We start from the raw sequence: 13527 nt of genomic DNA on the forward strand, positions 1-13527 counted from the left end.
CTGTTTTGGTGTCTTCCTAGTTCCTGGACTCCCTTTCCTAAATATCTGCATTGTTGCCGAGCATCCTGTTGTGCCCCATCTGTGTTGCCGCACGCTTTGGTCTGCATTGCTTAAGACTGGCAGAAAGGGTGTTGCGGTTTTCCAGATGACTTCATTCTAGGAGCTCTGTTAAGGTCTATATTAGAATCTTAATTATAGAACTTAAAAGCAATTAATTAATTTTAATTGAAAAGCCTATTTTAGGTGACTCCTTTTATTTAACTAATGTTCTTCCTTGGTTCATATAGAGAAATCATTATATTTGAAACAAGTTAGATCTAATTATAAAGACTAAATATCAGTCTTTTATAGTTAATGCGGCCACATTAGTGCTAGTTATGCTATTGTCTTCTAACATAGTTATTTAAAAAGACTTGCCATTTTCACATAGTTTTGGCATGTGTAGAGGAAGAAATGAGAGAAGCTTTAAAAACATATTTGCACCACTTAAAATACTTGTGAAATGGTGATAATGTTTACACTTAGAGATAAGCATAGATGTAAAGTGTACAGTAAGTTTTGATACATGTATACATCCAAGTTACCATCCCTTGGTTGATAAGGAACAGTTCCATTACACAGAATGTTTTTGTCTGTTCAGTCCTGACTCCTCAGAGTAAAGCGTTCTTATTTCTATACCTAGATTGGCATTTCCTAGTCTGGAACATCACCTAAATGTAGTCATATAGTGTGTGTGCGCTCCTGTGTCTTGCTTCTGTTGCTCGGCACGTTTTTGAGATTCATCCAAGTAGTTGTGTGTATTAATAATTTATTCCATTTTATGGATGTACCCCATTTGTTCATTCTCCCAATGATAGACATTTGGGTTGTTTCCAGTTTTTTTGTTATTATGAATAAAGCTACTAAAAGGATCATATTACCCATCTTTTTGTGGATGTATGTTTTTGTTTCTCTTGGTTATTAACAAGTAGTGGAATTGCTGAGACGGTCTAGAGGTATGTTTACTTTTATAACAAACCACTATTGGTTTTCCAAAGTGGCTGTACCATTTGGCACTCCCACCGGTACTGTGGGGGAGTACCTCATTGTTCCTCATCATTTAATGTTGCCAATCTCTTGATTTAATCCTTCTAGTGAGTGTGTCATCGTGGTTTTAGTTTCCATTTGTCTGACCTCTAGTGATGTTGAGCACCATTCCATGTGCGATTGGACTTCCGTATATCTTCTTTGCTTCTAGTTTTAGTCTCTCACTCAAAAAAAAGTGGGTTGTCTTTTTATTTGTTTCTATATATGCTATATATATCCTATATATTTTTCATAGGATATGCTGTCTATACATGTATTTTCTACATGTATCATCTCTATGGAGAATATGTATGCATACATACTGCATATATTCTAGGTAGAGATAGTTGTCTGTATATTCTGGGTATCATTCCATTGGCAGATAATTACATATTACATATTCGTATTATAAATATTTTCTCTGAGTTTGTGGCTTGTGTTTTCATTTTCTTTTTTTCTTTGAGACAGAGTCTCACTCTGGCGCCCAGGCTGGAGTGCAGTGGCATGATCTCGGCTCACTGCACCCTCTGCCTCCTGGGTTCATGTGATTCTCCTGCCTCAGCCTCCTGAGTAGCTGGGATTACAGGCACGTACCACCACACCTGGCTAATTTTTTATATTTTTGGTAGAGACAGGGTTTCACCACGTTGGCCAAGCTGGTCTTGAACTCCTGACCTCAAGTGATCTGCCCGCCTTGGCCTCCCAAAGTGCCGGGATTATAGGCGTGAGCTACCATGCCTGGCCTCATTTTCTTAAATATGTCTTTTCATGAGCAGAAAATTTTAATTTTGTTGAAGTATGAAGAATTTTGTGACCTAAGAAATCTTTGTTTACTCCAAAGTTGTTATCTTGTTTTCTTCTGGACACTTTACAGTATTAATTTTAGTTAAGATTATGATCTATCTCAATATGTGCGCACGTGTGTGTGTGTGTGTGGTATGAGATTCCGTTTTTTCCATACGTTTTTCTAATTGTTCACCACTATTTGTTGTAATGACTTTCCTTTCCCTTTGGAGTGCCACAGTGCTTGTCCTGACAATAAAATTAGGTTTTAGTCTCTTTCTGGTTCTCTTTTCTGTTGTTTCTGTTGTTTCTGTTGTTTTTGTATCCCTATATCAGTACTATACAGTCTTGATTACTGTAACATGAAAGCATGTTGTGTAAATCCACTAATTTTATTCTTCCTTTAATTATTTTGGCTATTCATGGTCCTTTGAATTTCTGTATAAATTGTGGAACGGACTTGTGAATAACTACTTAAAAGTCTGGTTAGGATTTTGATAGAGAATGGATAGTGTTTTTAAATCATATTGGGAGACACTAACATCTTAATAATCATATTGCCTGTTAATAATGACAGTTTTAAAATTCTTCCTTTTCAATCTATATCCATTTCTTTCTTTCTTTTGTATCATTGACCTCCGGTACTCTGTGACTAGAAACATTCAGGACAGACATTCTTACCTATTCCTGATGTTAGGGGGAAAATGTTTATTTCATCATTAAGTATGCTAGCTGTACGTTTTTATATCAGATTGAAGAAGGTCTTTTCTATTTTGAGTTTGCTGGGATTTTCTTAAAAATCAGAAATGGGTATTGAATTTTGTTGATGCTTCTTTTTTGCATCTATTGAGATAATTATATGGCTTTTATTCCTTATTGTGAATTAAATTAACTTAAAAAAATGATGAACCATGTTCCAGATTTTATTTCCATTTGACTGGTTTTTCTCTTCATGACCTCTCACTGGTCTAGGACCCAAGCCACATAACCCATCGTTGTCTCTCCATTCCCCTTTGTTGTGTGACAGTTTCTTAGTGTTTCCCTGTATTTCATGACCTTGACAGCTTTAGGAAGTGCTGGCCGAGTATGCTGTATGATGTCTCCCAATCTCAGTTTGTTTGACGCTTTTTTCATGATTAGCTTGAGGTTGTGGATTTTGGAAAGAACACTATGGAACCCTTGTGCCACTGGGCGCATGACATCCACAACGCCCCTGGCAATGCCCACCTTGGTCATTTGGGTCAAGCAGTGTCTGCCAGTTTTCTTCATTGTAATGTTGCTTTCTCTTTCCTTATTCAGTTCTTTGGAAACAAGTCACTAAGTGTAGGCTACCTTAAGGGATGGGGTTCTGGGGAGAGGGGAGGAAAGCAACTTAAGCCCCACCTCCTGGAGGAGGAGGAGGAGGAGTATCTCCATAGATTTGGAATTCTTCAGGTAAGATTTGACTGATTTTTGAGTGTTAACGTCATGTTTCTGGATAAACCCCACTTGGTTGTGATGTATTATCCTTTTTATATTTGGTGAGATTCCGTGTACTTTTACTTTTAAAAAAGATTTTGTTTCTGTATTAATGAAGGACACTGGTCTGTAATTCTTTTTCTTCTAATTTTTGCACAGTTTGCTTAGTCTTTCCAACCCATAAATTTTCACTGTTGGTAGAATGACTTTCATTTTTATTTGATGATGTATCAATAATTCTATCAATAAGCATTAAAAACTTAGTGAGCTTTTTGTAAGCAATGTTTTCTCTTTTGCACTCTCTCTCTCTCTATATATATAGATTTGTGTGTGTGTGTGTGTGGTGTATGTGTTTCAGAGAACTACCCATTGTTTCTGTTTAGATTTTGGGATAGAATATTGAATTTTCTTTCAGAACACTGAGATCATACTTTCATTTCAGAATTAGCTGGAGAACTTCAAAATATATACAAGTCTGAGTATTTTTCCCTCTTTGCTTTTCCAGTTCTTTCTACATTTACGAAATAAAGCCTAAGTGGACCTCTCTGTTTTTTTAAGTACTTTGATGGTGATTTTCATATGCAGTCTGTATTAAGGATTAAAAATAAATCTTTCAGGTTTTCACAATAAATCAGTAACTAAAAATCAAACCTTTGACTATTTTTGTCAATGTCTATAGTGAAATGAAAGATTTACATGCACATTTAAATGTTTACACAACATAATCTTAGGATAGTTTGATTTTTATGTTGTAGCAGCACACTACCCATCAGTGGAATGTAGCTTGTCAATGGCATGCTAGGTAATATTTGTTAAAAATTATACAGAAGGCCAGGCGTGGTGGCTCAGGCCTGTAATCCCAGCACTCTGGGAGGCCGAGGTCGGTAGATCACGAGGTCAGGATTTTGAGACCAGCCTGACCAACATGGTGATACCCCGTCTCTACTAAAAATACAAAAATTAGCCTGGCGTGGTGGTGGACGCCTGTGATCTCAGCTACTCGGGAGGCTGAAGCAGGAGAATTGCTTGAACCTGGGAGGCAGAGGTTGTCGTGAGCTGAGATCGCACCACTGCACTCCAGCCTGGGCAACAGAGCAAGACTCCATCTCAGGGAAAAAAAAAAATTATACAGGAGGTCAACGTTTTGGTAGACAGGTTAGTTTTCTAAACCATATGGTGAAGGGGGATGGATTTTTTAAGCCCCATATTTAGAATAAGAGGCTGAAGAATTAAGTCTAGCTTAGTGGATGTTGTCAAATGGGCTGCAGTTAAGCAAGTGCTATCAGCCGTGTTTGGTGGTTTGTCAGGTTAGTTTCCCTAATCTTTGATGTAGTTCAAGGATTAACTGAGCCCCAAGATTTGGACCAGAAGTTTGCATTCTAGGATGGTTCCATCACTCAAAAATATTCCTTGTGCTATCCTTTTGTGGCCATACCTTTCCTTCTTTCCTAACCACTGGTTACCAGTGTAATTTTGTTCCTTGGAGAATATCATATAAATGGAATCATTGCAGTGTATAACCCTTTGAGATTGACTTGTTTTACTCAGTATAATGATGCCTTTATGGTTTTATCCCTGTTATGTCAATAGACCTATTGCGAAGTAGCATTCTGTGGTTTGGATGTACAAGAGTTTATCCATTCATTCATTGAAGGACATTTAAGTGTTTCCAGTTGTAGTGATCCTGAATAGAATAAACATTTTCCTATAGGTCTATTTGAACATAAGGTATCATTTCTCTAGGGTAAATATCTAGGAAGAAACAATTTTCAACTCATCTTTATCCTCTTTAGATTTCTTAGATGGAGATTTGGATGCAGAATAAGCTATATTAATTTCCGTGCTGTCTTGTTTTACATTAAACTTGTTTGGAAAGTCTTTGAACTGTGCTTACAGTTGTTAATAGTTGAATTGAAGATGACTTTGTAGAATCTTTGCTTTGTTGGTAGTGATTTCTTTTCCTCCCTTTTGGACTTGCTACTCTACTCAGTGTAGTCTGTGGACCTGAAATGTTGGCGTCACCTGGGAGCTTGTTAGAAATGCAGAACCCCAGGCCCCATCCTGAATCGGCTGAGTCAGAATCTGCTTTTCAACATGATTCCCACTGATGACTGGGCATTGAATTGGAGAAGTGCTGCTCTAGAGCATCATGGGAGCGGAGAATAGACGTCCTAAGGAAGCTGGCTTTGGTTCTGTTGGGAAGTGTGGTGCAGCACGTACCTTGCAGGCATCCATTCTGATTTCAAACACTCAGTAGTACAGAAATAACGGTATCAAACCAGCAAAAATCCTGAGATTTTGGTACTTTAAAATTCTACGGTATGCTGGACGTCAGCATACTGAGTGGGGGTATTGTAATTGTCAGGCTTAAGGTGAAAGTTGTAGTTTACTGTCATCTCCTGCTGTTCAGGCATTTGCTCTCCGAAAGATCTTTTTCCACTGGGAGGATTTATAGTAGAGTGTGCATTTGTAGTTGGTCTTTTTACACAGAAAATACTGAAAAAGGCAAGAATATAAAATGATTGTGTCATTGGTTTGTTTTCATTTTTTTCTTGTGCATTTTCTAATAAAGTTCACTGTTACTTCTATTAAGAGTAAATAACATTTACATATTACAAATCATGAGACTAAAGGAGCAAATATATTCTCCTTACATTGATAAAAAGTATCTAAATTAACCTTGCTCTCTGTAGGTACTTATTTTATGTCTAAGAGTGGGTCACAGAGACTGATCTGAGGTGAGAGGTGATTCTTTCACTAGGAACATGAGTGATACTTGGCAGTAAGAATTGTCCACAAAGAAATTACTTTTAATTTGGGCTGGGGTTAGGGAAAATTTTTGTAGGGAATACTGATATAATAAAATTTCAGATAAAAGCTGGTTTTAGTGTGACGACATGACTGAAGAAAAAAAGTTTCTCCTTTTCAATAGTCTCAGTCAAAGATAGTGATAAATTAACTCTAGACAGTGAGATTGAAGTAAAAAGGAGTGAGAAATGATGAAAGGATTTTGGAGGCTACATCAGTAGAACGGCACATTTGGACTGCTTGTCTGGCAGTGAAGGGGAAGGTAGGTGGGGTCAGAGTTATAAAATGTTGAGCCTTTAAGTTACAATAAACTCATAGAACTTTAGTGTTAGTTTAATTAATACATTGAATTTCACTATGATCTGTATTAAACTCAAAGCAATAAGTCCAGCAGGAATTTTTGGAATTTGTTTATTTTCAGACGTGTAAGCAGCAATGATGTGTAGGACTTTGTCTATTAATTGCAAGCAAGAATTTGACCTTTTTTTTTTTTTTTTTTTTTTTTTTTTTGAACATTAACTGTTAATGTTTAAGGTTATTTTCTCCTGGAGTCAGCTTAGGGTTTCATGTGGCCTTTTAACAGGACATTTTGCAGTATTTTTTACATCTGAAATATAAACAATTAAATATTTTAGCATTCTTTAATATTTAATTCAAAAGAATATGAACTTACTGTCCTTTTTTTGCCTTGTGTATCTGCAATATAGGGAGGTATGGAAACATTGGAACTTCAAAAGGACATCAAAGAAGAATCAGATGAAGAAGAAGAAGATGATGAAGAATCTGGACGATTACGTTTCAAAACTGAAAGGAAAGAAGGAACAATTATTAGGCTCTCAGATGTAACTAGAGAGAGAAGGAACATTCCAGAAACTTTGGGTAACTTTTTTGCCTGTCTCCCATCCTCCTTTACTCTCATTTCAACTTCCTCCATAGTATTGCTGTAATTAATCAAAGTAGGCAAAGAAGGTTGACTAGGTAATTGCGGCTGCCGTCCGGAGAGTGGCCGGACTTTGGAGTGAGTGCTGTTTATGGTACTGTAAAACTCATTCTTTAAAATCATTGCTGTTTATGGATTTAAAATGCTTGAATAAAATGTTTAAGATAATTAAAAAAAATTTTTTTTTGAGTCTGTGGCCTACAGCTGCTCTTGTACATGCTGTGGTTCCTGGCTGGTCTTGAAAAGGTGGCATGGGGATGGTAGCTATGGGGCCAGGTTGACCCTTCCCAAGACCCTGAGGTTGTCAGGGCGAATTCTGGACAAGACCGGTTTATATTTTGTACCTTTTAGTGTCTTCATAGCTATATCTTTTTTTGTGTTTTCTGCAGTTCCTCTGACTTTAATGAGACAAGTTGACTCGTTTATAGAAATAATCACTCTGAGCAAAGCTTGCTGTGTGAAAGGTCTACTACAGACTGCTGCTGATTCACGGAGACTTTTAATAGCGACCCTACCCCTCATTATACAGTGTTTTTCAATGTCCACTGCAAGGAATAAAGCAGTGATTCCAAATTTGAGTGAGCGTTAGAATCTCAGAGGACTTGTTAAAACACAGATTTTGGGACCTGCTCCCAGCTTCTCTGATTGATTAGATATAGGGTAGAGCCCAAAAAAGTTGTATTTTTTTTGTTTTGTTTTTGAGACAGAGTCTCGCTTTGTTGCCTAAGCTGGAGTACAGTGGCACAATCTTGGCTCACAGCAACCACCGCCTCCCAGGTTCAACTGAGTCTTCTGCTTCAGCCTCCCGAGTAGCTGGGTCTACAGGTGCGTGCCACCACACCCGGCTAGTTTTTGTGTTTTTAGTAGAGACGGGGTTTCACCATATTGTCCAGGCTGGTCTTGAACTCCTGACCAAGTGATCCACCCGGCTCAGCCTCCGTAAGTGCTGGGATTACAGGCGTGAGCCACCGCTCTTGGCCTAGAAAGTTGTATTTCTAATGAGTTCCCATGCAATGCTGCTCCTGCACTGGTGCTTCCAGAACCACTGGGATATTGTCCTTCCAAGGAGGAGGGCAGGCAGGAGGGCAGGAGGACACAGGGGCTCTGCCTGCCATCTGGTCTTGGTCTAGATAAGAATCAAGACTTACCTTTCATGATTAATTACTTTTTAAAACCATTATTCATAGTCTTTTTTTTGTCCAAAACATGAGCCTGTATCTTTAAGTAGCAGATACGAATTCTGTGGGAGGACACTAAGCTTCAAAGATGCACAAGATAGCAGTAGTCAACCAATATTATCTTAATTTACTAGGCAAGATTGTTCAGAGAGATTCTTCTAGAATCTTTGTTCTCTTTTTCTTTGTGGTCTAGTTTACTACTACTCCATCTTGTGGCCCAAGATTTCCCTAGACTTTTTTCAAGTTATGATATGAAGTTGCCAGTTGAGCTGAAGCAGATTTCTTAGAAGCATCTTTAATTTCTAAGAAATAGAGTCTGGCATTGGCCTTAGGTGAAAGATGGAGCGAAGGTCTTAAAACAGAAGGATGAAAATAAACAAAATACATCAACAGGAGGAATTGGTAATATCACAGAACAGTCTACTTGAGCAGAGACATGTCAGTCTTGGCTTGAGATGAGATGGACAAAGGAAAGCTCTCCATACCTGGCAGAATACTAAGGAATTCTAAGGGCAACCCACAGCCACCACCTGGAAGGCATAAAGCTTCCTGAACTGGGGAGGGATGGAGGAAGAGAAGGATTAGTCATCACTACTGCTTCTTTTGTTGGGTCTTGTTATCTGGGCTGTGGCTTTGATTACATACATTTAAAACATGATGTATAAAAGCATAGTCACTGAGAACTCCCCAGGTAGCTACAAGTTCTAAGACTATTAATTCACTTGCTAGACAACATTACAAATGGGGGCTTTCCCCAACTCTGTAGTCTGCTCCCTGTGGGCTGGCTGTGGATTTCATGGCTCGTCTTTCCTCTTCTGTACCACCCTGCCCTGATTTGTGGTGCCTCTCTGCCTTTCCCACCTCCCTGGTTTCCAGCTGCGTTATCTCATCCCTGTTCATTGTCCCTCCACCCAACCACTAGTAACATCCTTGTTCTGCAGTGATGGCCAGCTTGCATGTGTGCTTAGTGTCTGTTTCAGTCCTGCATCTCCTTCTTCTCAGGACTTTTCCCTCATTTTTTTCTTTCCAAGGTCATTGACAATTTCGTGTATTTAAATAACTTGTATTAAATCTGTTTTGCTTTTTAAGGCATCTGGAAACTTTGTGTTCATGTAATTCTGGGACAAGAAGCTGGAAAGGTTGGTTTGTGGTGGGCAAGTCCTCTCCTTGGAATTATGGGGGAAGAGTATGAGACCCTTAGAGGCAGAGTAGCTATAAACATATACAGCTTGACTAGTGACCATTCTCAGAAACAATAAAAAAGCACTTAACTGGATTTTTGTAGAATGTGGTTGTTTGGCAAGATGATAGGGCAGGTGAAACCATAGTTAAAAGTACCTTTTTCTGTTCCGTATTACTTAAGAAAGCTTGGTGCTTGGAAACATGAGTTTCAGATAACTGTAAAGTTAGGATTTTTCCCAACACAAAGGAGGATTTTTCTGTCCGTCAAAAGATTGGTTTCCTAAAACAGTGAATTCTCTTGTTACCTTCAGTACCTCCCCCCAAACAAAAGATGAATTTTACATCTGAGGAAATATATATTGAAAAAGAGATAATGCCTCAGTATTTGGTAAACTAGACATTTGAATACATTTTTACACATCAGTTTATTTGTGTGCTCCTAGAGATCAAAATAAAAAAACCTGAACAGTCTCAGGTTCTGTGTAGAAATAATTATTTGATTGTGTAAAGCTGTTTGCCTACTCTGTAATGGGATTAAAATATCTTGCCACCAGAGTACCTGTTGTCTTATATGAGGTGTACTTTTTTTTTTGTTTTCGCTGATATTGTTAGTGTTGAGAACACTTCATTCTTTAAGAGGGAGAATCAAATGATGCACTGGTATCCCCAATTTCTGACTCTAAAAGTTTACATGTGAAACGAGTTCTCTTCCAATCTAGGAGGGAGTTTTGGTTACTTTTAGTCTTTTTTCACATTCACATCTCTGTGAAAAACATTCATATATATGACAGCCTCAGCAGTTAAGGAACAGTTTTATGCACAGTTGTTGATTGGTATTTTGAATGCAGGTTGGATTAGAAGTAGAATTCTGGGCTTTCATCTAGGTTAAGATCTTAATTGACTAGCTTTTTTTGCTCTATCAGGATTGTGGAAATTAAACCTTACAGAAAAAGATTTGAGTGACAGTGTTCTCGGTTTTCCCAAGGACGATACAGAACTACATACCTAGGAAATAAATTAATTCATTACATACAGAGGATGTTGTAGGGTGTAAGTGCTGAACTCCCTCCTGGAGCTCAGTTGAGCCGGGCTACAGAGTAGGCATGTGTAAGGAATGGTTCACTGTGAAAATGCCAGTCGCCATTTCTGAAGATGGTGTCACTGACCAGTGTCCCCCAATTGCCAGTCCTGCAAGTTGAGAGCTCTCTTTTCGTCTAGGAGGTGGCCCTTGGATTGCCTTAGAAAGCAATGTAAGCCATAAATGAAAGACTGCATTTATTTTAGTTAGAAAGACTGCATTTATTTTTAATTCATTATCTGTGAGTAGGCTTCCAGATTATTTTATTCCGAGTTTCATTGGCACGTGTTACATGTTCTTTTTTATTGCTGTAGCCTAAAGAACCTGCTTGTACACCCACAGAATATTCTCTTGAAATAATATCATTAATTTCAGAGGATCTGTGGGAAAGAGATTTCTCGGTAGTAACAAACAATTCAGAATTGCTAATGCCAGCAATAGCTCACTGTTCAAGGGTTTATACTTAATGGTCCTTATATTTGCAGGGCCTTTAAAATTTTCTTGATTCAGTTGTCTTTTAAAAAAAAGTCAGACTGTCATTTGTTATTTTTATTTTGCCAAACAAATTGTGTATTCTATATGTATTTCAACTATTATAAAATTATTTGCATGCAAATATATTTTTCTTAACATTTTAGAAAGGGACAGTGCAGTGTAAACTTTGTTACATTGAGGTATGTATCTCTTTAGAATCTGGACATAGTTCAGAAAACACTTAAAGGGAAATTAACATTTCAGTTGAAGTTACAAATGTAATTTCCATCCTGTCATATTTTGGTGACCTTTTGTGACAGCTTGTCTCAATTGGAGGAAAGCATTTTTACTTGCTGATTAAAGATGTCATTTGAAACCATTTTATTACTGAGGATAGTGAAATTAATCTTGACACTCAGAACCACTAGAAAAATAATTGCTGATTCACTGCGTAAAATGTGTGTGTGAACTAATCATGTAGTCAAGATTAGAATAAAAGTCTATGCTGGTTAAGAAGAGATTAAATTTTCTTTCAAATGGGGTCTAGTTTTATTTGAAGGAGAGAGGGGTACCATATAAACAATTTCAAGAAAAATGTGACTTAGAGATTTTGGAGGAGTTTGGAGATGATGATGGGATCCAAGGTAGAAGGTAGACTCTGGTAATATTGAAAGCGTACCCTTGGCTGGGGAAGAAGGCAGGAGAAGGTGTCTTGGTATAATGTACTCAGTGACATTTTTAGAAAATGTGGTGTAAGATCTGTTGTCCCAATTTAGCTAGTGTTGTAAAAGGACCATATGTGGCTAAATCATTTTCGTTTCCCTTTAGGAACCTAGAAGAATGTGGCATCTGAAGTTTCTTAGGGCCAGTGCCCATGTTTTCTGTATCCCTAAAGCATTGGGCAGAGCAGTGAGCAGCTGCTGGACACTCCACACGTGTTTGCATGAGTGTTTTCTCATGTGACTTTGCTCTCATTTGATTTGGCTTCTCTGTCAGTCTGCATGCATATGAGAAGGCTTCACAGTAAAGTTTTAAGAAAATAAATACAAAAAATTGAAATGATATGTATTAAATTGAGCTTTTTATTCTTTATGAAATCACCTTGACTTCGGAATGAGTTCATTAATAGTTTTGTTTTTAAGTGAGAATGATCGGGAATTTGTGTTCTTGCGTCTATGTGCCATCGTATGCTATTAATAGCTCTACTGGCTTCAGTAAGAAAATCATACTGCTGTAGGACTGGTAGAACTTCTGACTGATGTCATGCACCATCAGTAAAAGGTGTGACTGCAGGCTGGGCGCGGTGGCTCACGCCTGTAATCCTAGCACTTTGGGAGGCTGAGGCGGATGGATTGCCTGAACTCGGGAGTTCGGGACCAGCCTGGGCAACATGGTGAAACCCCGTCTCTATTAAAATGCAAAAAAATCAGCCGGCGTGGCGGTGTGCACCTGTGTAGTCCCAGCTACTTGGGAGGCTGAGGCAGGAGAATTGCTTGAACCTGGGAGGTGGAGGTTGCAGCGAGCAGAGATCACGCCACTGTGCTCTAGCCAGGGCAACAAAGTGAGACTCTGTCTCGGGGGGAAAAAGGATGGGACTGCAAAATGCCTTGTCGTGTGAGGGCAGTGGCTACGTTTCACTTCAGCTGCTTTTTAGCCTCAGTCAGCACATATCAGTGGTCTCCGATGAAAATAATTTAAAATTTACTGTTAACACTTGCATTGTGTCATAACGGAAAGCCTGTTCTTATTTATCAGATCTCACTAGTGGGTTGTGTGTGTTGCTGGTTGTATCGTACTTGCCGCTGCTAGTTGGGTGTTTCCTGCGGGTGAAGCACATGCTGTGGCAGAGTTTCATTGTCACATCATTCTTTCCTGTTCTCTCCCTAGACCTCCAGTTTGGGCTCTCGGAAAGTAACTAACACATACACATTTTTTCACATAGAGCTTTCAGCAGAGGCCAAGGCAGCATTGCTTGAATTTGAAGAAAGGGAGCGACAGCATAAACAAGGACGCTACAGCTCCAGGCGGGGAGGACGGCGAGGAGGTCCGCTGATGTGTCGTGGTGTGGGGGACCAGAGGAGAGAGAGCACCGAGAGGGGCAGGATGAAGGACCACAGACCTGCGCTGCTTCCTACACAGCCTCCTGTCGTGGTAACTTCAGATTTTCTTGTAGTAGCCCTAGAACTTCAGAACAAATGGCAGTAAGCTTTTGTGGGTATCCTAGTATACATTTCTCTCTTCTTAGTCTGAAATGAAAGGTTAGTAGCAGGGGTAATGGCTGAAGTTTCTGCTTTATAGTCTCATGTGATGTTGCATATAGTCTTAGAAATTCAGCACTCCAGTCATCTGGTAGTAAGAAATCATCCTGTACCACAGATACTTCCAGAGGAGGAATTAATGAGCGACCTGATGCCCTAAGATGACATAAGCTGTTGGACCTTGCTACCTAAAGCCTCTAGAGAGGTATTTCTGAGTGCATTACATTTGAGAGATGTTATTACAGATAGAATTTAGGCAGAAGTTGTTTATTTTATAAAAATATCTTTACCTTTTTACTGTTT

At 38.7% G+C, this 13527-nt stretch overlaps 1 protein-coding gene across 1 annotated transcript in view; it reads left to right on the forward strand.

Annotated features, from left to right (window-relative positions):
* Positions 1–13527, forward strand: part of RBM33 (RNA binding motif protein 33) — a 136820-nt gene that overhangs the window by 49291 nt on the left and 74002 nt on the right. Inside the window, exons 6-7 of the mRNA NM_053043.3 lie at positions 6822–6993; positions 12909–13117. Of these exons, the coding sequence (NP_444271.2) occupies positions 6822–6993; positions 12909–13117 (381 nt within the window). The remainder of the gene's footprint in view (positions 1–6821; positions 6994–12908; positions 13118–13527) is intronic.

The sequence above is a fragment of the Homo sapiens genome, chromosome 7 (assembly GCF_000001405.40).
Source record: "Homo sapiens chromosome 7, GRCh38.p14 Primary Assembly".
Classification (NCBI taxonomy): Eukaryota; Metazoa; Chordata; class Mammalia; order Primates; family Hominidae; genus Homo; species Homo sapiens.